This window comes from Homo sapiens, chromosome 15 (genome assembly GCF_000001405.40).
Source record: "Homo sapiens chromosome 15, GRCh38.p14 Primary Assembly".
NCBI classification, from domain to species: domain Eukaryota; kingdom Metazoa; phylum Chordata; class Mammalia; order Primates; family Hominidae; genus Homo; species Homo sapiens.
The window spans coordinates 55,428,288-55,453,357 of NC_000015.10; the positions used below are offsets into that span (position 1 = coordinate 55,428,288).

A 25,070-nucleotide genomic window follows, 5' to 3' on the forward strand; every position below is an offset into this window, starting at 1 on the left:
GTCCTACAAAGGCAATTCCGTCCCCAGGCAAGAAGGAGGTCGGCTTTGGGAAAGGACTGTCACTGTCTTTGTTTAAACTATACACTAAGTTTTTTAAAGTTAGTTCAGCCTACACCCAGGAATGAACAAGGACAGCTTGGAGGTTAAAAGCAAGATAAATTCAGTTAAGTTAAATCTCTCTCACTGTCTTTTTTTTCTTTTTTTTTTTTTTTTTTTTTTTTTTTTGAGATGGAGTCTTGCTCTTTCACCCAGGTTGGAGTACAGTGGCACAATCTCGGCTCACTGCAACCTCCGCCTCCCGAGTTCTCGCCATTCTCCTGCCTCAGCCTCCCGAGTAGGTGGGACTACAGGCGCCTGCCACCACGCCTGGCTAAATTTTTGTATTTTTAGTGGAGAGGGGGGTTTCACCATGTTAGCCAGGATAGTCTCGATCTCCTGACCTTGTGATCTGCCTGCCTCAGCCTCCCAAAGTGCTGGGATTACAGGCTTGAGCCACTGCGCCCAGCCTCTTTCACTGTCTTAATCATAATTTTGCAAAGGCCATTTTATTCTGCCACCTCTAGCAGTGTCTCTTCTAAATCTTTATATAAGATGCTGCTTGATTCATGAGTCACTGATAAAGGCCAATTAGACCTTTAAACTAAATTTGTTAGGCCAGGCGCGGGGGGTCTTGCCTATAATCCCAGCACTTTGGGAGGCTGAGGCAGGCAGACCACTTGAGGTCAGGAGTTCGAGACCAGCCTGGCCAACATGGTAAAACCCCGTCTCTACTAAAAATACAAAAATTAGCCAGATGTGGTGGCACGCACCTGTAATCCCAGCTACTTGGAAGGCTGAGGCAGGAGAATTGCTTGAACCCAGGAGACGGAGGTTGCAGTGAGCCGAGATTGCACCACTGCACTAAAGCCTGGGTTACAGAGCCAGACTACATCTCAAAAATAAATAAATAAGGCCGGGCGCGGTGGCTCATGCCTGTAATCCCTGCACTTTGGGAGGCCGAGGCGGGTGGATCACCTGAGGTCAGCAGTTCGAGACCAACCTGGCCAACATGATGAAACCCTGTCTTTACTAAAAATACAAAAAATTAATCAGGCGTGGTGGTGCCTGTAATCTCAGCTACTCAGGAGGCCTGAGGCAGGAGAATCCCTTAAACCTGGGAGGTGGAGGATGCAGCGAGCTATGATCAGGCCACTGCTCTCCAGTCTGGGCAACAAGAGTGAAACTGTGTCTCAAGAAAAAAAAAAAAAAAGGCTGGGCGCGGTGGCTCACACCTGTAATCCAGCACTTTGGGAGGCCAAGGTGGGTGGATCACGAAATCAGGAGATTGAGACCATCCTGGCTAACATGGTGAAACCCCATCTCTACTAAAAATGCAAAAAATTAGTCAGGCGTGGTGGCAGGCGCCTGTAGTCCCATCTACTCGGGAGGCTAAGGCAGGAGAATGGCCTGAACCCAGGAGGCAGAGCTTGCAGTGAGCCAAGATCGCGCCATTGCACTCCAGCCTGGGCAACAAAGGGAGACTTCCTCCGTCTCAAAAAAAAAAAAAAACCTTTAAAATTTAATTAGAGAATTACAGTAACTACAAGCAAAAGGGAAGCTGTGCTATTGTGCTTAACACTTGCATAATCCCAGTGATACAACACAAATGATGGTGCAGTCCAATACCAATACCATAATATTCCAGGTTAATATCTTACACTTTGCTGTCTTTTCTCCCCCTTGTCTACTTGGAGGTACTAGAAAACTATTTCACTCAAAAATTTATCTTCACCAGATAGTGTTATGAAATATGATCAGTTTTCAGGTGCACAGCCTATAAATGAAGTTGAATATAAGGTTTTCTAAACAGTTGTTTTATACTAGGCTGAACTGGTCTAATCTTGAACAACAAGCATTAGAGAAGTATTAAACAAAAAAATAAGGTTCTGTGCAGTTGGAAACTAACGGACAACCTGTCAATATTTATTATACCAAAGTCAACCATTCAGTCAATTAAATGGTATATTAATACAAACAAAAGTTATTTATAAATCTTTTATTTTAAAATTCTACCTTGTTAAAAATTAATCAGTAAGTGTCCTGGTAACTATACCAAAACATATTTTGTTACAAGGGCAAGCTTAATTCAGTAACACAAAAAAGTATACATATGTATTAATATGAAGAAATAAGGAATTAAAATAGATTCTTATTTAGATTTACTTATTCAGAAATGATTCAAGTCAAACAGTTTATTTTCTATAGATTTATAATATTTTGCCCTCAACAGAACTAAAGTACTAAACAGAAAGCGATTCTGTACAACTGGCCATAATATGTACAAAGATGCCTCCAGTTGTTTTTAAAAAACTTATAACAATACTTAGTTACTTCTAATAGTCATTAAGATTTTAGTTCTGTTCCTTGAATTACATTCCGAATCTTCTCAGCATCAATTTGTACAATTTTGTTGGATGGATCAATCTTAAGTGCCGCTTCATAATCCTGTAGGCCTGTGTTTATATAGCAATGATGATTAATACAATAAATATTTTATTAGCACTTCTTTTATCTAGACAATAGTTGTTTAAAATAAAAATAATCACTAGTAGCATGGTTCAGAACAAGTACCAAGTTTTAAATTAGATTCCCATCTTTTTTTTTTGAGACAGAGTCTCCTTCTGTTGCCCAGGCGGGAGTGCAGTGGCATGATCTCGGCTCACTGCAAGCTCTGCCTCCTGGGTTCACACCATTCTTCTGCCTCAGCCTCCTGAGTAGCTGGGACTACAGGCACCTGCCACCACACCTGGCTAATTTTTTGTATTTTTAGTAGAGATGGGGTTTCACCGTGTTAGCCAGTAGGGCCTCGATCTCCTGACCTCATGATCCACCCACCTTGGCCTCCCAAAGTGCTGGGATTACAGGTGTGAGCCACCGTGCCCGGCCCCTAAATCTATCTAAAATAAAATAAAATAAATGCTATATTTTCTGTATACATAGAGCTAAATTACAGAACTTAATACAATCTAACAAATATAAGCAATGTGCATGCACTATGGTGGATCAGTTATTTCCGAGCTTAGGTGTGTGTATACACACACACACACACACACACACACACACAAATACATACATACATACAGGGATGACCGAAGAAGCTCTCTGAGATAAATATCCATGATATCTCAAATCATTTATATATTTTATCTTTTTTTTTTTTTTTTTGGAGACAGAGTCTTGCTCTGTCACCCAGGCTGTAGCGCAGTGGCGTGATCTTGGCTCACTGCAAGCTCTGCCTTCCGGGTTCACGCCATTCTCTGGCCTCAGTCTCCTGAGTAGCTGGGACTACAGGCGCCCGCCACCACACCTGGCTAATTTTGTTTTTGTATTTTTAGTAGAGACGGGGTTTCACCGTGTTAGCCCGGATGGTCTTGATCTCCTGACCTTGTGATCCACCTGCTTCGGCCTCCCAAAGTGCTGAGATTACAGGCATAAGCCACCACACCCAGCCTATCATGTATTTTTTTTTTTTAAGAGACAGGGTCTCACTATGTTGCCCAAGCTGGTCTCAAACTCCTGGCCTCAAGCCATCCTTCCACCTCAGCCTCCCCAGTTCCTGGGATTATAGGCGTGAAGCACCACACCCAGCATTTATCACACGTTTCTATGAAGAGTTGTCTGGTAATATAGCATTTTTTTTTTTTTTGAGAAGGAGTTTCGCTGTTGTTGCCCAGGCTGGAGTGCAATGACATGATCTCGGCTCACCACAATCTCCGCCTCCCGGGTTCAAGGGATTCTCCTGCCTTAGCCTCCCAAGTAGCTGGGATTACAGGCATGTGCCACTACGCCAAGCTAATTTTGTGTTTTTAGTAGAGGGTTTCTCCATGTTGGTCAGGCTGGTCTCGAACTCCCGACCTCAGGTGATCCACCCGCCTCTGCCTCCCAAAGTGCTGGGATTACAGGCATGAGCATCTGCACCCAGCTAATATAGCATTTTTCTAGACTGAAACTTGTTGTTTACACTTATTTTAATTCTCTTCTACAATGAATTTTTTAAATATAATTTAGAAATCATGTATTGTCAGATATACTGCAGACATTACTAAGAATAAATTAAATGCTAAAAATATTTAAAAATGGAGTCCTTAAAAGTCACGATCTTAAATAATTCCAATGACATTTTTTTCAGAGTATAACTTGGGACTTAAACCATTTCTATCAATTCCTTACCTTCTACATACAATTCTAGTTGACAGAATGCTGTTCCACGTCGTACATGTGCCTTCATTCTTGCATTAGCATTGTCTGTAACAGGTGGCATCAATAATTCCAGTGCCTTACAAAATATATATAATTATTACAAGAAAGTTATAGTTTCTTAATTTAAACAAGCAAAAGGCTGGGCATGGTGGCTCACGCCTGTAATCCCAACACTTGGGGAGGCCGAGGTAGGTGGATCACCTGAAGTCAGGATTTTGAGACCAGCCTGGCCAACATGGCGAAACCCCGTCTCTACTAAAAAAAAATACAAAAATTATCTGGCTGTGGTGGTGCACACCTGTAGTCCTAGCTACTTGGGAGGCTGAGGCGGGAGAATTGCTTGAACCAGGGAGGCAGAGCTTGCAGAGAGCCGAGATCGCGCCACTGAACTCCAGCCTGGGTGACAGAGCGAGAATCCGTCTCAAAAAAAACAAAAACAAAAAACAAACAAGCAAAAACATGGTAAAAATTCTAATTTTAAAATAAGCCTCGGGTGGGCCTGGTGGCTCACGCCTGTAATTCCAGCACTTTCGGAGGCTGAGGTGGGCAGATCACCCAAAGTCAGGAGCTTGAGGCCAGCCTGGCCAACATGGCAAAACCCTGTCTCTACTAAAAATACTTAAACTAGCCAGATGTGGTAGCGGGCACCTGTAATCCCAGCTACTCAGGAGGCTGAGGCAGGAGAATCACTTGAATCCGGGAGGCAGGGGTTGCAATAAGCCAAGAACGCACCACTGCACTCCAGCCTGGTGACAGAGTGAGACTTTGTCTCACACAAACACACACACACACAAAAGGCCTCGGCCGGGTGTGGTGGCTCATGCCTGTAATCCCAGCACTTTGGGAGGCCCAGGCGGGCGGAGGCCCAGGCGGGCGGATTACGAAGTCAGGAGATCGAGACCATCCTGGCTAACACGGTGAAACCCCGTCTCTACTAAAAATACAAAAAATTAGCCGGGTATGATGGCGGGCGCCTTCAGTCCCAGCTACTCCGGACGCTGAGGCAGGAGAATGGCGTGAACCGGGGAGGCGGAGCTTGCAGTGAGCCGAAATTGTGCCCCTGTACTCCAGCCTGGGCAACAGAGCAAGACCTCGTCTCAAAAAAAAAAAAAAAAAAATGGCCTCAAGCACTCACCTAAATTTTTAGCTTAGCTGGTACAGGAATTTAGCAAATATAAATATATTATATATATAAAACAAATATATATATAATTATTTGTTTTTTATATATAAATATATATAATTGTTTTTATAAAACAAATATATATATTTGTTTTATATATATAATATATATTATATATATTACATATATTATATATTATATATATTATAATATATATTATATATATTACATATATTATATATATATTATATATATTATATATAATTATATATATTATATTATATAAAATATATATAATATATATAATATATATAATATATTTTATATATTATATATAATATATATAATATTATATATATTATATATATTCTTATATATAATATATATTATATATATATATAAAACAAATAATTATTATCAGGTTTTCCAGAAGAGATATGTTGAACAACTTAAGGAATTTTTCAGTTGTTCCTATATGGGATTCATACCCCTCCAAGGTTATTATTCAGCTTATCATTTCACATCTCCACAGCTTTATTTTTACCAGTAGGAATTATTAAATAGCATTTGTGGGCTTTTGTATTCAGATTGGGTGATTCAGCTTATTCATTCATTCAACAAATATTTGTTTGCATTGTGAGAGTCAAAGAAAAACTGGATCATAAAAGTAGTATGATATCAAAGTGATGAAGACTTGGTTGTGTCCTCCATATCCTCAATCTCAAGAAGCTACCTAAGAGATTTTGCACATGATATGCCCTTAAAACAAGTTATCTTGACATGGAAAAAAGAAAAAGCTGTAGAAGTTCAAGACATACACAGTAAATATTAGTAATGGAAAGTAGAATATACTAAGTTACCCTGCAAATGAGAAAATGATTGTAGAGATATCTGGGCTGGGTGCCGGGCGCGGTGGCTCATGTCTGTAATCCCAGCTCTCAGGGAGGCAGAGGCGGGAGGATAGCTTGAGCCCAGGAGTTCGAGACCTGCCTGTGCAATATAGCGAGACCCACTGCGCCCGGCCAGTAACAGCTGATTTTTAATCTAACTAACTATTCATAGAAGTCACAAAAAAACACCAGTTCCTTGTCCATTAGTAAAAAATCAGTTAAAAAAAAAAAGATTCAATAAGAAAGACAATCTTTAAAATCTTTGCATCTCAATTATTTCAACTGAACAGAAAAAGATCATCATTTAAACCAATTAATAGAAGGATATATTTAAAGCACCATATATCATACATAGATATCCATACCTTAGAAGAATCTTCAATAGCCTTGTGTAAGTTTTTTAGTTTTAGGTGGCAAGCAGCCCGGTTCAAATACAATAGTGGCATCTTATTATTTAGTCTTATGGCTAAATTATATGCATTGATAGCTGCCAAATAGTTTTCCGTTGCAAACAATTTGCTAATGAGACAAAAACAGAGAAGAAAAACAATTTAACATTGAAACAGAAACACAGAAATAATATCTAATTGTATTTGACAAAGAGGATGGCTTACCTCTTTTTGCATTCTCTTTAGGGTAAACGTTGCCTGCACTGAATCCATCTCTTTTCACATATACCAGCCTGTCATTTGAATGGAATGGACCTCACTCCCACCTCCAAGGGTAGACATTAGTAATTTAAGCCAGTAGGGCATATTTGCATTATTTTTGCTCCAGTAATTGACTCAGGGATGGGCTAGTGTGACCTATATTGTTCTACTTAGGATGAAGCCTGTGGGTTGGTTTCAAAGTTGAAGAATGAAAAGTTGGGCAAATTTCTCCCCCTGCTGGATATAAGTGAAGAAGTCACATAGCCCACATTGTTGCTGACCGTTTTTAAGACCGTGGGAAGAGCTGGCATTAGAATAAAGCTGATACTATGGAAATATGAAAGGAATAAAAAGGCAGAAAGAAACCGAGCCCTTCATGATACAGTTAAGCTGCTGGATCAAGCTTTACTTGAAATAGAAAACACCTTTAGCTGTTTAGTTATATAAGACAATAAATTCCTTTCAATATAAAAAAATTGGGTTTTTTGGTTACTTGCAATGGATATACTCTTTCAGTTTAAATGTTCCAAAATTCTCTTCAAATAAAGAGATGTACACGATTAAAGGATTTCTTCAAAATGCAAAGTCTTTGCTTTTTTTTGTTTGTTTGTTTTTTGAGACAGAGTTTCACTCTTGTTGCCCAGGCTGGAGTGCAATGGTGCGATCTTGGCTCACCGCAACCTCTGCCTCCCAGGTTCAAACGATTCTCCTGCGTCAGCCTCCTGAGTAGCTGGGATTACAGGCATGTACCACCACGCCTGGCTAATTTTGTATTTTTACTAGAGATGGGGTTTCTCCATGTTGGTCAGACTGGTCTCGAACTCCCGATCTCAGGTGATCTGCCCGCTTCGGCCTCCCAAAGCGCTGGGATTACAGGCGTGAGCCATTGCGCCCGGCCCTATTTTTACTTTTTTGGGAACCACAATAGTGTTTTCCATAGCAGCTGGATCATTCAACACCTCTACCAACAGTGCACAGGATTCTAATTTCTCCACATCCTCACTAACACTTGTTATTTTCTGTTTTTTTTCTGAGTAGCCATCCTAATGGGTGTGAAGTGGCATCTCATAGTGGTTTTGATAAGACATTTCCCAAATGGTTAGTGATGTTAAACATCTTTTTATATTTACTAGCCATTTGTCTCTCTTCTTGGAGAAATGCCTATTTAAGTTCTTTGCCCATTATTATTATTTTTTTAATTATTATTATTTTTTTGAGCAGTCTTGCTAAATTGCCCAGAATGGAGTTCAGTGGTGCCATCTCAGCTCACTGCAACCTCTACCTCCCAGGTTTAAGTGATTCTCATGCCTCTGAGACTCAGATTAGCTGGGATTACAGGTGTGCGCCACAATGCCTGACTAGTTTTTGTATTTTTAGTAGAGACAGGGTTTCACCATGATGGCCAGGCTGGTCTCAAACTCCTGGCCTCAGGTAATCCACCCACCTTGGCCTCCCAGAGTGCTGGGATTATAGGAGTGAGCCACCGTGCCCAGCCAATTTTTACATTTTTAGTAGAAATTGGGTTTCACCATATTGGCCAGGCTTGTCTCAAAATCCTGAACTCAAGTATCTACCCATCTTGGCCTCTCAAAGTGCTGGGATTACAGGCGTGAGCCACTGTGCCTGGCCAGAAATTTTCTTTTTATCTTGAGATGGAGTCTCACTCTGTCGCCCAGGCTGGAGTGCAGTGGCACGATCTCGATTCACCGCAACCTCCACCTCCCAGGTTCAAGCAATTCTCCTGCCTCAGCCTCCCGAGTAGCTGGGATTACAGGTATGCGCCACCACACCCAGCTAATTTTGTACTTTTAGTAAAGACAGGGTTTCTCCTTGCTGTTCAGTCTGGTGAACTCCCAACCTCAGGTGATCCGCCCGCCTCAGCCTCCCAAAGTGCTGGGATTACAGGCGTGAGCCACCGCACCTGGCTCTATTACCTTGTTCTTATCCATGTTATTGTACTTCCCACACAGTGTTTTAAATATTTGTGTACGTCTCTCTCCTCCTGATTTCTGTTGTTAAGTGCCTATAGTCTGGCAAATAGCAAGCAATCAATAATTGCTTATTTAATGGCTGAATAAATGAATAGGAAGGAAGAAAGGAAGAAGAGAAAGAGGAGGAAAGATTATATATGGTTTTACTCTTGGGAGTTAGAAGAACCAACCTGTCAGTTCCAGGCTTCTAACCTTCAGAAAAATTGCCAACTCCAGCTAAACGCCACAAAACAATCCCTGGTGTTGTAACAGACAAGAGAAAAGACCAAGAAAAAGTAGAAAGAAAGGAAAAATATAGATATTGTGGTAGACAGATAATGCCCCCCGCCCCCCAAAAAAAGATGTCCATATTCTAATCCCAGAACCTATGAACGTTACCTAACACGGCAAAAAGGACTTTGCACATGTGAATAAGTTAAAGAGTTTGATGGAGAGAGTACCCTGGATGATGTAGGTGGGACTTACATAAACACAAGAGGCCTTATAAAAGGTAGAAGGAGGCAGGAGAGTCAGAAAAGGAGATCACGGAAGCAGAGGTCAGAATAACGCAATCAGTGGCTGGGGAGCCACAATTCAAGGAATGCAAACAGCTTAGAAGCCGGAAATTTAAGAAAACAGCTTTTCTCCTAGAGCCTTCAAAAGGAAGGCAGTTGACACCTAATTTTGGCCCAGTGAAACTCATTTTGGACTTCTGAATTACAGAACTATAAGATAATAAATTTGTGTTGTTTTAAGCCACTTGGTGGTAGTTTGTTATAGAAGTAATAAGTAATAGGAAAATAAACACAGAAGTGTATATGATGAAATACAATAAATAATATCTATAGCCGCCTCAAAATATGAACACAAATTGCCACTCAGAATATGCCAGAATTCACTGTTTTTGATCAGTATGTTAAAATATTCACGGCCGGGTGCAGTGGCTCACACCCGTAATCCCAGCACTTTGGGAGGTCAAGGTGCGCGGATCACCTGAGGTCAGGAGTTTGAGACCAGCCTGGCCAACATGGTGAAACAAAAATTAGTTGGGCGTGGTGGCAGGCGCCTGTAATCCCAGCTACTGAGGAGGCTGAGGCAGGAGAATCGCTTGAACCTGGGAGGTGGAGTTTGCATTGAGCCAAGATTGTGCCATCACACGCCAGCCTGGGGACCAAGAGCGAGACTTTGTCTCAAAAAAAAAAAAAAAATCCATATACAAATGAATAAAATGACTGCCCAGATATAAGATAATTTCTGGGATAATATGGTAATCTTTTTTGTGTTTACATCACTGACCTGGAAGGCAGTAAGATGGTAATCTTTAGAAATGGATTTGAATAGGTCCCACACCAGGGCTCATGCCTGTAATCCCAGCACTTTGGGAGACTGAGGTGGATGAATCACTAGAGGTCAGGAGTTCAAGACCAGCTTGACCAACATGGTGAAACCCCGTCTCTACTAAAAATACAAAAAAAATTCGCCAGGTGTGGCGGTGGATGCCTGTAATCCCAGCTACTTGAGAGGCTGAGGCAGAAGAACTGCTTGAACCTGGCGGGTAGAGGTTGCAGTGAGCTGAGATTGCACCACTACACTCCAGCCTGGGTGATAAAATGAGACACTATCTCACAAAAAAAAAAAAGAAAAAAAATGGATAAGAATAATCAAAACAGCTGTAGCTTTGCAAAAAGCCCGTTTTTATGGGAGACATCAGAAAGGACTTATGTCAAATGTAAAACGGATTTTAAAAGGAATTTTAATAAGCATTCCAAAAGATGTAATTTTTTTCATTTTTATGACATTTAAATAAAAAAATAAAATTAGAGCCTCATTGCCTTGTTATCTGACTTTTAAAATATGGATGCCCTGTCTACCTTATTTGCTTATTTGCATTATCTTTCTCCAACAACACACAAACAGACAAAATATCTAGAGAATGTGATAACTACTTTGTTTGTTCAAAGACAGGGTCTCACTCTTGTTGCCCAGACTGGAGTGCAGTGGCACAATCATAGCTCACTGCAGCCATGAACTCCTGGGCTTGGGGGATCCTCCCGCCGCAGCCTTCTGAGTAGCTGGGACTACAGGTGCTCACCACCACACCAGGCTAATGTTTTATTTTGTTTGTTTTTTTGTAGAGACAAAATCTCGCTTTGTTGCCCAGGTTGGTCTCAAACTTCTGGCTTCAAGTTATCATCCCACCTCGGCCTCCCAAAGGGCTGGGATTACAGGCATGAGCCACCATACTCGTCCTATGATAACTGCTAATGTCTTCATACATGATAAAGCTCATGATCAGAGTTCAAACAACTTACTTTCCTTTATCCTTCAACCATTCTGGGTTCTTTTCTTCTTCTTTTAAATCGCAAAGTTCAGCTATGTCAGTATTCATTGCTCTTCGTGCCTCAGCTTGTTTGTGTAGCCACTAGAATGAGAAAGAAGTCTTATGAAGAATAAAAAGGTCTTTTTTTAATTAACATTTCCTTTTAGATTTTCCATCTTCCTCCAGTGGATTGAAATATTATTTGCTATGCACTGAGTGTTTGTGTCTTCTCCACCTCTCCTCCAAATTGATATACTGAAGCCATAACCATCAATGTGAATCGGTATTTGGTAGTGGGGCCTCTGAGAGGTAATGAGGTTTAGGTCATGAGAGGAGAGCTCCCAAAACGAGTTTATCCTTTTAAGAAGAGAAAGAGATCAGAGCTCCCCCATGTGGACACAGTGAGAAAGTGGGTGTCCGCAAGTTATGATGAGCACCCCTACCAAGAATCATGCTGGCACCCTGATCTTGGATTTCCCAGCCTCCAGAACTATAAGAAATGACTGTTTATTGTTTAAGCCACCCAGTCTATGGTATTTTGTTTATAGCAGCCAGAGCAGATTAACGTACTACTTGATGGTGGTAATTTTTTTTTTTTATCTTGCTCTGTCACCCAGGCTGGAGTGCAAGTGGAGCAATCTCAGCTCACTGTAACCTCCACCTCCCAGGTTCAAGTGATTCTCCTGCCTCAGCCTCCCGAGTAGGTGGGATTACAGGCGTGTGCCACCATGCCTGGCTAATTTTTGTATTTTTAGTAGAGACAGGGTTTCACTATTTTGGCCAGGCTGGTATTGAACACATGACCTCGTGATCCACCCACCTCGGAATCCCAAAGTGCTGGGATTATAGGCGTGAGCCACCACGCCTGGCCAATGATGGTGATTTTAATCTTGCAATATTTATATATATATATTTTTGAGACGGAGTCTTGCTCTGTCACTCAGGCTGGAGTGCAGTGGTGCGATCTCGGCTCACTGCAAGCTCTGCCTCCCAGGTTCACACCATTCTCCTGCCTCAGCCTCCCAAGTAGCTGGGACTACAGGCACCCACCACCACACCCAGCTAATTTTTTGTATTTTTAGTAGAGACGAGGTTTCACCCTGGTCTCGATCTCCTGACCTTGTGATCTGCCCACCTCGGCCTCCCAAAGTGCTGGGATTACAGGCGTTGGGCCACTGCACCTGGCCATATTTATACATTATTAAACTTTTTTTCTTTTTGAGACAGAGTCTCACTCAGCTGCCCAGGCTGGAGTACAGTAGCACAATCTCGGTTCACTGTACCCTCTGCCTCCTGGGTTCAAGCGATTCTTCTGCCTCAGCCTCCCAAATAGCTGGGACTACAGGCACACGCCACCATGCCCAGCTAATTTTTTGTATTTTTAGTAGAGATGGGGTTTCACCATATGGGCCAGGCTGGTCTCAAACTCCTGACCTTGTGATTCACCCACCTTGGCCTCCCAAAGTGCTGGGGTTACAGGCTTGAGCCACCGTGCCCGTCCTTAAACTTTTTTTTAAACCTCAATAGCTGGTGGAAATACAATAGATAAAATTTCTAGCCAAATTTCTTGCTTTCTGGGAGTTCATATGATATTATTAATTTTTTTTTTTCTGAGACAGTCGCACTCTGTCCCCCAGGCTGGAGTGCAGTTGCATGATCTCAGCTCACCGCAACCTCCGCCTTCTGGGTTCAAGCAATTCTCCTGCCTCAGCCTCCTGAACAGCTAGGATTACAGGCGTGTGCCACCATGCCCGGCCAGTTTTTGTATTTTTAGTAGAGACGGGGTTTCACCATATTGGCCAGGCTGGTCTCGAACTCCCGACCTTGTGATCTGCCCACCTCGGCCTCCCAAAGTGCTGGGATTACAGGCGTGAGCCACCATGCCCAGCCCATGTGATTATTATTTTATCTTTCTGGGTTATAATATTTTCATTTTTCTTTTTTTTTACTATACTTTAAGTTCTAGGGTACATGTGCAAAACATGCAGGTTTGTTACATATGTATACATGTGCCATGTTGGTGTGCTGCACCCATTAACTCGTCATTTACATTAGGTGTATCTCCTAATGCTATCCCTCCCCCCTCCCACCACCCCACAACAGGCCCCGGTGTGTGATGTTCCCCTTCCTGTGTCCAAGTGTTCTCATTGTTCAATTCCCACCTATGAGTGAGAACATGTGGTGTTTGGTTTTTTGTCCTTGCAATAGTTTGCTGAGAATGATGGTTTCCAGCTTCATCCATGTCCCTACAAAGGACATGAACTCATCCTTTTTTATGGCTGCATAGTATTCCATGGTGTCTATGTGCCACATTTTCTTTTTTCTTTTTTAAATGGCACAGTGGTTTAATCTCTAGAATCCCAGACAACAGATTTGAGGTATTCATTCCTATAGAATTTGGCTGTGCTTCCTACTCTGACCAAAAAGATTCATGTGTTCAGATACAACAAAGCTAGCTTTCTAACTTACTAACTTATAATGTATATGCATATGCACATGTCTGTGTCTTCCCTGCCATGTATTTATTCTTCATGCTTGGTTTTCTAGCATTTTCAAGTTTGCAGGAAAAGTTTCAATACACATTTATTTCTCCAGTCCGCAGTGGAGCAGGTAACACATCCTAAGGAGACAGAGTTTTTTTTGTTTTGTTTTGTTTTGAGATGGGTTCTCGTTCTGTTGCCAAGGCTGGAGTGATGTGGCATGATCTTGGCTCACTGCAACCTCCGCTTCCCGGGTTCAAGCAATTCTCCTGCCTCAGCCTCCTGAGTAGCTGGGACTACAGGCACACGCCACCATGCCCGGCTAATTTTTTTTATTTTAGTAGAGACGGGGTTTCATCGTGTTGTCCAGACTGATCTTGAACTCCTGAGCTCAGGCAATCCACCCGCCTTGGCCTCCTAAAGTGCTGGGATTATAGGCGTGAGCCACAGCGCCCTGACTGAGAGTTGTCGAAATGCTCGCAGGAAGTGTTTCTGTGTTAAAAAGTTGGGAAGATGGAAACTGAATCCTCCTTGTATTCAGAAGGCTGTTTCGGAAGGTCACTCTTGGCAGGCTTCTCCCTACAGGGATTCAGCAGTGAGGGAGCAGAGTATTCGGGGGACAACTGCTTCTTCTGGAGGGGAGAGAATGAGATGGAGTTCACCAGCAGCTCTTTATGTCAGACTTTTAGCAGGATTCAGCTTTATAAGTAAGCTTGTCGCCTCTGAATATAGGGTCTTCTCATCAACACTCTGAACATTACTGGAAACAAAAAATTTCTTTCCTTCAACTTTATCAAGTTGGCTATTTATCCTAACAACAGAACAAAGAGGGATAGGTCTTTTACAACTGATGTTGAGATTGGCAGTCATGACGATTCCCCCAGCCATCATTGCACACATACCAACAGTAGCATCAATCATGGTTGCAATGGCACCTCCATGAATCAATCCAGGTGGTCCTTCTAGGTAAGGGACTCCTTGAAATAAGCAAACCATCCTTTTCTCAACGTCATTGTAGAACATCACGTATTCAAAGCCCAGGCCATCATCAAAGCTTCTGGTGAAGAGCTGGGCCTGTGACACTTGTTCTTCTTTCATAAGCTTTGGGTCAAGAAAATGGGTTTTAAAGTCTTGAATCCTTTCAGTAGGTGTACGTTTATATGAAGGCAAACGTTTCCAGGAGCCGTCTTCACATTTCTTCATAAACTGGTCAAAGAGCAGTCTTAGGTCCTTGTTCCAGCTGGGGTTGGGGACAGAATAGTCCTTAAGAATGACTTCCTCAGAAGAAAATGACCTCAGCGCGGGTTGCGGCTCACTACCCGGCAGGCGCCTGCCTACCGGTGGCGGCTGGCAAAGGGCCCCCAGCGTGCGGAGGCGCCTGGCGCAGCTCCTCAGCATGGCTCAGGGCCGTGCAGGCCGTGGGGCCGCACTTGCTCTAGCCCTGGATGGCACACATTACTGCCACATTTTCTTAATCCAGTCTATCATTGATGGACATTTGGGTTGGTTCCAAGTCTTTGCTATTGTGAATAGTGCTGCAATAAACATACATGTGCATGTGTCTTTATAGCAGCATGATTGATAATCTTTGGGTATATACCCAGTAATGGGATGGCTGGGTCAAATGGTATTTCTAGGTCTAGATCCTTGAGGAATCGCCACACTGTCTTCCACAATGGTTGAACTAGTTTACAGTCCCACCAACAGTGTAAAAGTATTCCTATTTCTCCACATCCTCTCCAGCACCTGTTGTTTCCTGACTTTTTAATGATCGCCATTCTAGCTGGTGTGAGATGGTATCTCATTGTGGTTTTGATTTGCATTTCTCTGATGGCCAGTGATGATGAGCATTTTTTCATGTATCTGTTGGCTGCATAAATGTCTTCTTTTGAGAAGTGTCTGTTCATATCCTTCACCCATGTTTCGATGGGGTTGTTTTTTTCTTGTAAGTTTGTTTGAGTTCTTTGTAGATTCTGGATATTAGCCCTTCGTCAGATGAGTAGATTGCAAAAATTTTCTCCCATTCTGTAGGTTGCCTGTTCACTCTGATGGTAGTTTCTTTTGCTGTGCAGAGGCTCTTTAGTTTAATTAGATCCCATTTGTCAATTTTGGCTTTTGTTGCCATTGCTTTTGGTGTTTTAGACATGAAGTCCTTGCCCATGCCTATGTCCTGAATGGTATTGTCTAGGTTTTCTTCTAGGGTTTTTATGGTTTTAGGTCTAACATTTAAGTCTTTCATCCATCTTGAATTAATTTTTGTATAAGGTGTAAGGAAGGGATCCAGTTTCAGCTTTCTACATATGGCTAGCCAGTTTTCCCAGTACCATTTATTAAATAGGGAATCCTTTCCCCATTTCTTGTTTTTGTCAGGTTTGTCAAAGATCAGATGGTTGTAGATGTGTGGTATTATTTCTGAGGGCTCTGTTCTGTTCCATTGGTCTATATCTCTGTTTCAGTATCAGTACCATGCTGTTTTGGTTACTGTAGCCTTGTAGTGTAGTTTGAAGTCAGGTGGCATGATGCCTCCAGCTTTGTTCTTTTGGCTTAGGATTGTCTTGGCAATGTGGGTTCTTTTTTGGTTCCATATGAACTTTAAAGTAGTTTGTTTTCCAATTCTTTGGGGAAAGTCACTGGTAGCTTGATGGGGATGGCATTGAATCTATAAATTACCTTGGGCAGCACGGCCATTTTTACGATATTGATTCTTTCTATCCATGAGCTTGGAATGTTCTTCCATTTGTTTGTGTCCTCTTTTATTTTGTTGAGCAGTGGTTTGTAGTTCTCCTTGAAGAGGTCCTTCACATACCTTGTAAGTTGGATTCCTACGTATTTTTTTCTCTTTGAAGCAATTGTGAATGGGAGTTCACTCATGATTCGGCTCTCTGTTTGTCTGTTATTGGTGTATAAGAATGCTTGTGATTTCTGCACATTGATTTTGTATCCTGAGACTTTGCTGAAGTTGCTTATCAGCTTAAGGAGATTTTGGGCTGAGACGATGGGGTTTTCTAAATATACAATCATGTCATCTGCAAACAGGGACAATTTGACTTCCTCTTTTCCTAATTGAATACCCTTTTTTTTTTTTTTTTTTTTTAGTATTTATTGATCATTCTTGGGTGTTTCTCAGAGAGGGGGATGTGGCAGGGTCATAGGATAATAGTGGAGAGAAGGACAGCAGATAAACACATGAACAAAGGTCTCTGGTTTTCCTAGGCAGAGGTCCCTGCAGCCTTCCACAGTGTTTGTGTCCCTGGGTACTTGAGATTAGGGAGTGGTGATGACTCTTAACGAGCATGCTGCCTTCAAGCGTCTGTTTAACAAAGCACATCTTGCACCGCCCTTAATCCATTTAACCCTGAGTTGACACAGCACATGTTTCAGAGTGCACGGGGTTGGGGGTAAGGTTATAGATTAACAGCATCCCATGCAGAAGAATTTTTCTTAGTACAGAACAAAATGGAGTCTCCTATGTCTACTTCTTTCTACACAGACACAGTAACAATCTGATCTCTCTTTCTTTTCCCCAAATTTCCCCATTTTCTTTTCCACAAAACCGCCATCGTCATCATGGCCCGTTCTCGATGGTCGCTGTCTCTTCGGAGCTGTTGGGTACACCTCCCAGATGGGGCGGCCAGGCAGAGGCGCTCCTCGCCTCCCAGATGGGGCGGCCAGGCAGAGGCACTCCTCACCTCCCAGACGGGGTGGCCAGGCAGAGGCGCTCCTCACCTCCCAAACGAAGGGCACCAGGCAGAGGCACTCCTCACCTCCCAGACGGGGCGGCCGGGAAGAGGCGCTCCCCACTTCCCAGACGGGGTGGCCGGGCAGAGGCGCTCCCCGCTTCCCAGATGGGGTGGCGGCCGGGCAGAGGCGCTCCTCACATCCCAGACGGGGCAGCCGGGCAGAGGCGCTCCTCACTTCCCAGATGCGGCAGCCAGGCAGAGGTGCTCCTCACCTCCCAGACGGGGCGGCCGAGCAGAGGCGCTCCTCACCTCCCAGACGGGGCGGCCGGGCAGAGGCGCTCCTCACATCCCAGACGGGGTGGCCGGGCAGAGGCGCTCCTCACCTCCCAGACGGGGTGGCCGGGCAGAGGCACTCCCCGCTTCCCAGATGGGGTGGCGGCCGGGCAGAGGCGCTCCTCACATCCCAGACAGGGCAGCCAGGCAGAGGCGCTCCTCACTTCCCAGATGCGGCAGCCGGGCAGAGGCGCTCCTCACCTCCCAGACGGGGTGGCCGGGCAGAGGCGCTCCCCACTTCCCAGAAGGGGTGGCAGCTGGGCAGAGGCGCTCCTCACCTCCTAGACGGGGCGGCCGGGCAGAGGCGCTCCTCACATCCCAGACGGGGGGGGGGGGCAGCTGGGCAGAGGCACTCCTCACTTCCCAGACGGGGTGGCCAGGCAGAGGCACTCCTCACATCCCAGATGATGGGCGGCCGGGCAGAGGCGCTCCTCACTTCCCAGACGGGGCGGCCGGGCAGAGGCGCTCCCCACTTCCCAGATGGGGTGGCGGTCGGGCAGAGGTGCTCCTCACATCCTAGACGGGGTGGCCAGGCAGAGGTGCTCCTCACTTCCCAGACCGGGTGGCCGGGCAGAGGCGCTCCTCACATCCCAGATGAAGGGCAGCCAGGCAGAGGCGCTCCTCACCTTCCAGACAGGGCGGCCGAGCAGAGGCGCACCCTGCTTCCCAGATGGGGTGGCGGCCGGGCAGAGGCGCTCCTCACATCCCAGACGGGGTGGCCGGGCAGAGGCGCTCCTCACTTCCTAGACGGGGCAGCCGGGCAGAGACACTCCTCACATCCCAGACAGGGTGGTGGCCAGGCAGAGGCGCTCCTCACATCCCAGATGGGGCGGCCGGGCAGAGGCGCTCCTCACATCCCTGATGGGGTGGCCGGGCAGAGGTGCTCCTCACATCCCAGACGGGCCGGCTGGGCAGAGGTGCTCCCCACTTCCCAGACGGGGTGGCGGCCAGGCAGAGGCGCTCCTCACATCCCAGATGATGGGCGGCCGGGCAGAGGCGCTCCCCACTTCCCAGACGGGGCAGCTGGGCAGAGGCGCTCTCCACTTCCCAGACGGGGCAGCCGGGCAGAGGCGCTCCTCACTTCCCAGATGGGGCAGCTGACGGGCAGAGGTGCTCCTCACTTCCCAGATGGGGCGGCTGCGCAGAGGCACTCCTCACTTCCCAGACGGGGTGGCCAGGCAGAGGCGCTCCTCACATCCCAGATGATGGGCGGCCGGGCAGAGGCGCTCCTCACTTCCCAGACGGGGCAGCCGGGCAGAGGCGCTCCCCACTTCCCAGATGGGGTGGCGGTCGGGCAGAGGTGCTCCTCACATCCCAGACTGGGCGGCTGGGCAGAGGCACTCCTCACATCCCAGACGATGGGCGGCCAGGCAGAAATGTTCCTCACTTCCTAGATGGGGTGGCGGCCAGGCAGAGGCTGTAATCTTAGCACTTTGGGAGGCCAAGGCAGGCGGCTGGGAGGTGGAGGTTGTAGCGAGCCGAGATCATGCCACTGCACTCCAGTCTGGGCAACATTGAGCATTGAGTGAGCAAGACTCCATCTGCAATCCCAGCACCTCGGGAGGCCGAGGCGGGCAGATCAGGAGCTGGAGGTCAGGAGCTGGAGACCAGCCGGGCCAACAGAGCAAAACCCCATCTCCACCAAAAATACAAAAACCAGTCAGGCATGGCGGTGCGTGCCTGCAATCCCAAGCAGTCGGCAGGCCGAGGCAGGAGAATGACAGGAGCCTGAGGCAGGGAGGTGGCAGCGAGCCGAGATCACGGCAGTACAGTCCAGCCTCAGCAACAGAGGGAGACCGTGGAAAGAGAGAGGGGAGAGGGGAGAGGGGAGAGGGCAGAGGGGAGAGGGGAGAGGGCAGAGGGGAGAGGGGAGAGGGCAGAGGGGAGAGGGGAGAGGGGAGAGGGGAGAGGGGAGCCCCTTTATTTCTTTCTCCTGCCTGACTGCCCTGGCCAGAACTTCCAACACTATGCTGTGTTGAATAGGAGTGGTGAGAGAGGGCATCCCTGTCTTGTGCCAGTTTTCAAAGAGAATGCTTCCAGTTTTTGCCCATTCAGTATGATATTGGCTGTGGGTTTGTCATAAATAGCTCTTATTATTTTGAGATACTTCCCATCAATATCTAGCTTACTGAGAGTTTTTAGCATGAAGTGCTGTTGAATTTTGTCAAAGGCCTTTTCTGCATCTGGTGAGATAATCATGCGGTTTTTATCTTTGGTTCTGTTTATATGCTGGATTACGTTTACTGATTTGCGTATGTTGAACCAGCCTTGCATCCCAGGGATGAAGCCCATTTGATCATGGTGGATAAGCTTTTTGATGTGCTGCTGCATTCGGTTTGCCAGCATTTTATTGAGGATTTTTGCATCGATGTTCATCCAGGATATTGATCTAAAATTCTTTTATATTTTCATTTTTCTGTACTGAAAAATATGCAGAAGGTCACTTGAGCCCAAGAGTTCAAGGCTACAGTGAGCCATGATTGTCCCACTGTACTCCAGCCTGGGCAGCAGAGCAAGACCCCCAACTCAAAAAAAAAAAAAAAAAGGGTGTGTGTGTGTGTGTGTGTGTGTGTGTGTGTGTGTGTGTATAAACACAATTCAAAAATAATTCTATGGGCCGGGCGCAGTGGCTCACACCTGTAATCCCAGCACTTTGGGAGGCCGAGGTGGGTGGATCACAAGTTCAGGAGATTGAGACCATCCTGGCTAATATGGTGAAACCCCATCTCTATTAAAAACTACACAAAATTAGCTGGGCGTGGCGGTGGGCACCTGTAGTCCCAGCTACTCGGGAGGCTGAGGCAAGAGAATGGCATGAACCCAGGAGGTGGAGCTTGCAGTGAGCGGAGACTGCGCCACTGCACTCCAGCCTAGGGGACAGAGCGAGACTCCATCCCACAAAATAATAATAATTATTATTATTATTATAACTGTATAATTATAGAAATGTTACAAATATAGAAAATACCTTGTTTAATAATATGAAATAATTATTTATATTGTCATTATGTCTTTTATTTTTTATTTTTTTTTTTGAGACAGAGTTTCACTCTTTCACCCAGGCTGGAGTGAAATGGTGCAATCTTGGCTCATTGCAACCTCTGACCCCCGGGTTCAAGTGATTCTCCTGCCTCAGCCTCCCGAGTAGCTGGGATTACAGGTGCCTGCCACCACACTGGACTAATTTTTGTATTTTTAATAGCGATGGGGTTTCACCATGTTGGCCAGGCTGGTCTCAAACTCCTGACCTCAGGTGATCCACCCACCTCGGCCTCCCAAAGTGCTAGAATTACAGGCGTGAGCCACCACGCCCGGCTTGTCATTATGTCTTAAGGATCTTCTTATTTCTACAATTTTTCAAATCAAAGATGCATCAATTCAGCCTCGCAGTAAAAAAATGCAGTTCTTGGCTGGGTACGGTGGCTCATGCCTATAATCCCAGCACATTGGGAGGCCGAGCAGGGTGGATCGCCTGAGGTCAGGAGTTTGAGACCAGCCTGACCAACATGGTGAAACCCCATCTCTACTAAAAATATAAAAAATTAGCCAGACATGCTGGCGCATGCCTGTAATCCCAGCTACTAGGGAGGCTGAGGCAGGAGAATTGTTTGAACCTGGGAGGAGGAGGTTGCAGTGAACTGAGATTGTGCCCACTGCACTCCAGCCTGGGCAACAAGAGCAAAAACTCCATCTCTAAAACAAACAACAACAACAAAAAGACCGCTTTTTTTTTTTTTTTTTTTTGATTCAAAGTCTCACTCTGTTGCCCAGGCTGGAGTACAATGGTGCAATCTCGGCTCACTGCAACCTCCACATCCCAAGTTCAAGCAATTCTCCTGCCCCAGCCCCGCTAGTAGCTGCGATCACAGGTGCTCGCCACCACGCCAGGCTAATTTTTGTATTTTTAGTACAGATGGAGTTTCCCCATGTTAGTCAGGTTGGTCTTGAACTCCTGACCTCAAGTGATCCACCCATCTCGGGCTCCCAAAGTGCTGGGATTGCAGGCATGAGCCACTGCGCCCGGCCTACTGTACATATATTAAGTCGGTATTCTCTTATCACTATTCTGGAGCCAAAAACATCTGCAAAATATATTTTCTCATAAGGAAATTCTAAAACATATTCATGACGTTATTTCTTTAGTGTAATAAATACTTAAGAAATTCAGAACCAGTACTAATTTCAATAGATGAAATAAAAATAAAGTATTTTCATTTGTGGTAATTGTAACTAGAGTAAGTATATATACCTCCTCCTCTTCTGCTACTTGTGATTCACGAAGAGCTGTTGGGAATACTCGAGGGGTAAAGTTGATTTTAATACTGCCAACAGAGCGAGGAGCAGGAATACTGTCTTCCTTTAACTTCTCAGTAAATATATTTTCTGAATTTCTCCCTTCAAAAACAATGGTAGCAAACAAGTCACTTATTTCTCATTTTCTAGTTAACAATCAACTGATAAAGTAATTACACATCAAAGCTCACCCCCAAATCCTAAACAAATAAATCAAATATATTTTCTGCAAGAAAAGAATGCAAAATTTAGCAATGATAATATAGCAGCTAATGACCTACCTGCTCTTTATCAATGGCCTCAGCTACTTTTCTGGGGTTCTCTTTGTAAAACCACAGTGTTTAATTCACATCAACTCTAAGGGAGGATACTCTAGGCAACTCTACATCAACTCTAGAGAAGGGCACATAGGCAAAACCACCACTGCCAATACCATCTCTATCTCCTTAAACTCTATAGCAGTATCTCCTACATACTTTATCTCCTATATGCTTTCTTATAATAGTGTAAGAGGTTTTAGCCATCAAAGAGAACTAATGAGAACTGGCAAGGACGGGCGCAGTGGCTCATGTCTGTAATCACAGCACTTTGGGAGGCCAAGGCGGGCCAATCACCTGAGGTCAGGAGTTCAAGACCAGCCTGGCCAACATGATGAAACCCTGTCTCTACTAAAAATATAAAAATTAGCCAGGCCTGTGGCACATACCTATAATCCCAGCTACTTGGGAGGCTAAGACAGGAGACTTGCTTGAACCTGGGAGGTGGAGGTTGCAGTTAGCCGAGATCGTGCCATACACTCCAGCCTGGGCAACAGAGTGAGACTCCGTCTCCAACAAACAAACAAACGAAAACTAGGAAAGGGTCTTGACTAGACATTTCAAAGGACTGGGGCAAGGGGGGAAGGAGCGCTCTTAGACTCAAAGATGAAAGCCAAATAATGTGATAACAGAGGTGATCCCATCAGCCAGGATGGCCTTGTAGAACACAGTCGTTGAGCACTGTTGCATAACAAAGTATTACATTAAAGAGAACTAAATTTTTATCTTTATTTGATCTGTACATTTGGGGCTTTATTTTACAATGCTCGGCTTGAACCTACCTAATACAAGATCCCAATAATTTTATATCCAAGTTAACTGTTGCTCACTCATAATGGCAAAAGACATTTCTAGGTATGTAAGAACTCAGCCAACACTACCTAGTCATCTTTTGTGAATACATTACTCAAATAAATGTTCCAGAACACAGAGAAATAACATTAAGAAACCAGGAGTGGGGAATTTGAGAGCAAAATGAAAAAGAATGGGTTTTCTAAAGCAGTGGAGAACACACTAAAAATTTTGTGAATAATATCTTTTTTTTTTTTTGAGACAGGGTTATTACCGTCACCGAGGCTGGAGTGCAGTGATGCAATCACAGCACACTGCAGCTTTGAACCCCTTGGCTCAAAAAATCCTCCCATCTCAGCCTTTCAAGAGCAGGCACTACAGGTGCCCACCACCATACATGGCTAATTTTTTGTTTGTATGCTTTTTTGTAGAGATGGGGTCTTGTTTTGTTGCCCAGGCTGCTCTTGAACTCCTGGGCTCAAGCAATCCTCCCATCTTGGCCTCTCAAAGTGCTGAGATTACAGGTGTAAGCCACCACACCCAGCCTGTAAATAATATTTTTAAATAGTAATACAAAAGAAGGAAAATAGGTCTGGGCGCAGCGGCTCACACCTGTAATCCTAGCACTTCGGGATGCTGAGGCGGGTGGATCACTTGAGGTCAGGAGTTGGAGACCAGCTTGGCCAACATGGTGAAACCTCATCTCTACTAAAATTACAAAAAATTAGTCAGGGGTGGTGGCAGGCACCTGTAATCCCAGCTATTTGGGAAGCTGAGGCAGGAGAATCGCTTCAACCTGGGAGGCAGAGGCTGCAGTGAGCCAAGATCACGCCACTGCACTCCAGCCTGGACAACAGAGCATGTCTCACTAAAAAAAAAAAAAAAAAAAAAAAAAGGAAAAGGAAAAAAAGAAGGAAAATAGAATAGAAAGTAAAAATCAAGCATACTTCATTTTACTTCAGATTACTAATAATACTAATGATTAATACGATATAGAACATGCAGGAAATCATCACTATTATCCCATGAGGATAACTAAAAAAAACTATATTGCTACAGAAAAACAAATCTTTATGTGTTTATAAAAAATATTACAGTGACCACTAGTTACAGTAAAAATAAGATATATAATTTCCAAACTCATATATCTAATTTACAAACTCTTCTATTTTCCATTTGCAAATTGCAAAACATAAAAAAGAAATTTGCTGTTTGTAACAACACAGGTTAAAACTTTTACTACAAAGTTTTACATGCAATTTTATGAAAAGGTAAAATGTTATGAACACATACAAATTCTTGATAAAAAATAAATAAACAAAAGGTTCAATATATAGTTCAGTTTCAAAAGTAAGTAAAGGAAATGCTTCATCATCGAACTTAAAGCCAGGGTCATCTCAAAAGCTGACACAAAGCTGTTTGGAAAGATTTTAGATGCAAATAGATTAATATCAATGGCTGGAGACTGGAAATTTAATGCTGATATAGGTACAGAGGTGGGGAGGTGGAAATGAAACTAGAATCATAGAAGGGTAGGACCTCCCGGGTTCAAGCGATTCTCCTGCCTCAGCCTCCTGAGTAGCTGGAATTACAGACGTGCACCACCATGCCCAGCTAATTTTTTTGTATTTTTAGTAGACACGGGTTTCATCATGTTGGCCAGGCTGGTCTCGAACTCCTGATCTCGTGAGCCACCCACCTTGGCCTCCCAAAGTGCTGGGATTACAGGCATGAGCCACCGTGCCCAGTGGGCATCACTCTTAGTGAAAAGGATGCTTATACGATCTCTGCTCACTAATCTTAGAAAGTGAAGCTTGGAAAAAATGTCTCTTGTAAGAAATGGAAGCTCCAGGTATTCCTCATCAACAAGTCTTTTGCAAATAAGAATATATGATATTTCCTCATACATACACACTAAGAAGTTTTTGCAGAAGATTAGTGGTCAGGCAAAAAAGCACAATTCACAAGAGGAAACAATCCAGT

At 44.3% G+C, this 25,070-nt stretch overlaps 1 protein-coding gene, 1 long non-coding RNA gene and 1 pseudogene across 4 annotated transcripts in view; all 3 read right to left on the minus strand.

The window, feature by feature from the left end:
- Positions 1-25,070, minus strand: part of DNAAF4-CCPG1 (DNAAF4-CCPG1 readthrough (NMD candidate)) — a 143,362-nt gene that overhangs the window by 73,065 nt on the left and 45,227 nt on the right. The window contains exons 5-8 of the long non-coding RNA NR_037923.1: positions 21,935-22,080; positions 11,185-11,294; positions 6,618-6,771; positions 4,210-4,315 (exon numbers count right to left, since the gene is read on the minus strand). This is a non-coding gene — a long non-coding RNA (DNAAF4-CCPG1 readthrough (NMD candidate)). The remainder of the gene's footprint in view (positions 1-4,209; positions 4,316-6,617; positions 6,772-11,184; positions 11,295-21,934; positions 22,081-25,070) is intronic.
- The window catches only part of DNAAF4 (dynein axonemal assembly factor 4), a 90,480-nt gene that overhangs the window by 10,533 nt on the left and 54,877 nt on the right, over positions 1-25,070 (minus strand). Inside the window, exons 6-10 of one of the 3 annotated variants that reach the window (NM_130810.4) lie at positions 21,935-22,080; positions 11,185-11,294; positions 6,618-6,771; positions 4,210-4,315; positions 2,021-2,492 (exon numbers count right to left, since the gene is read on the minus strand). In NM_130810.4, coding sequence (NP_570722.2) covers positions 2,383-2,492; positions 4,210-4,315; positions 6,618-6,771; positions 11,185-11,294; positions 21,935-22,080 — 626 coding nt within the window. In that variant the 3' untranslated portion in view covers positions 2,021-2,382. Of the gene's footprint in view, positions 1-2,020; positions 2,493-4,209; positions 4,316-6,617; positions 6,772-11,184; positions 11,295-21,934; positions 22,081-25,070 lie in introns of those variants that run through there. The other 2 variants (NM_001033559.3, NM_001033560.2) reach the window with 2 other exon arrangements.
- LOC100420711 (thioesterase superfamily member 4 pseudogene) lies at positions 14,048-15,131 on the minus strand (annotated as a pseudogene).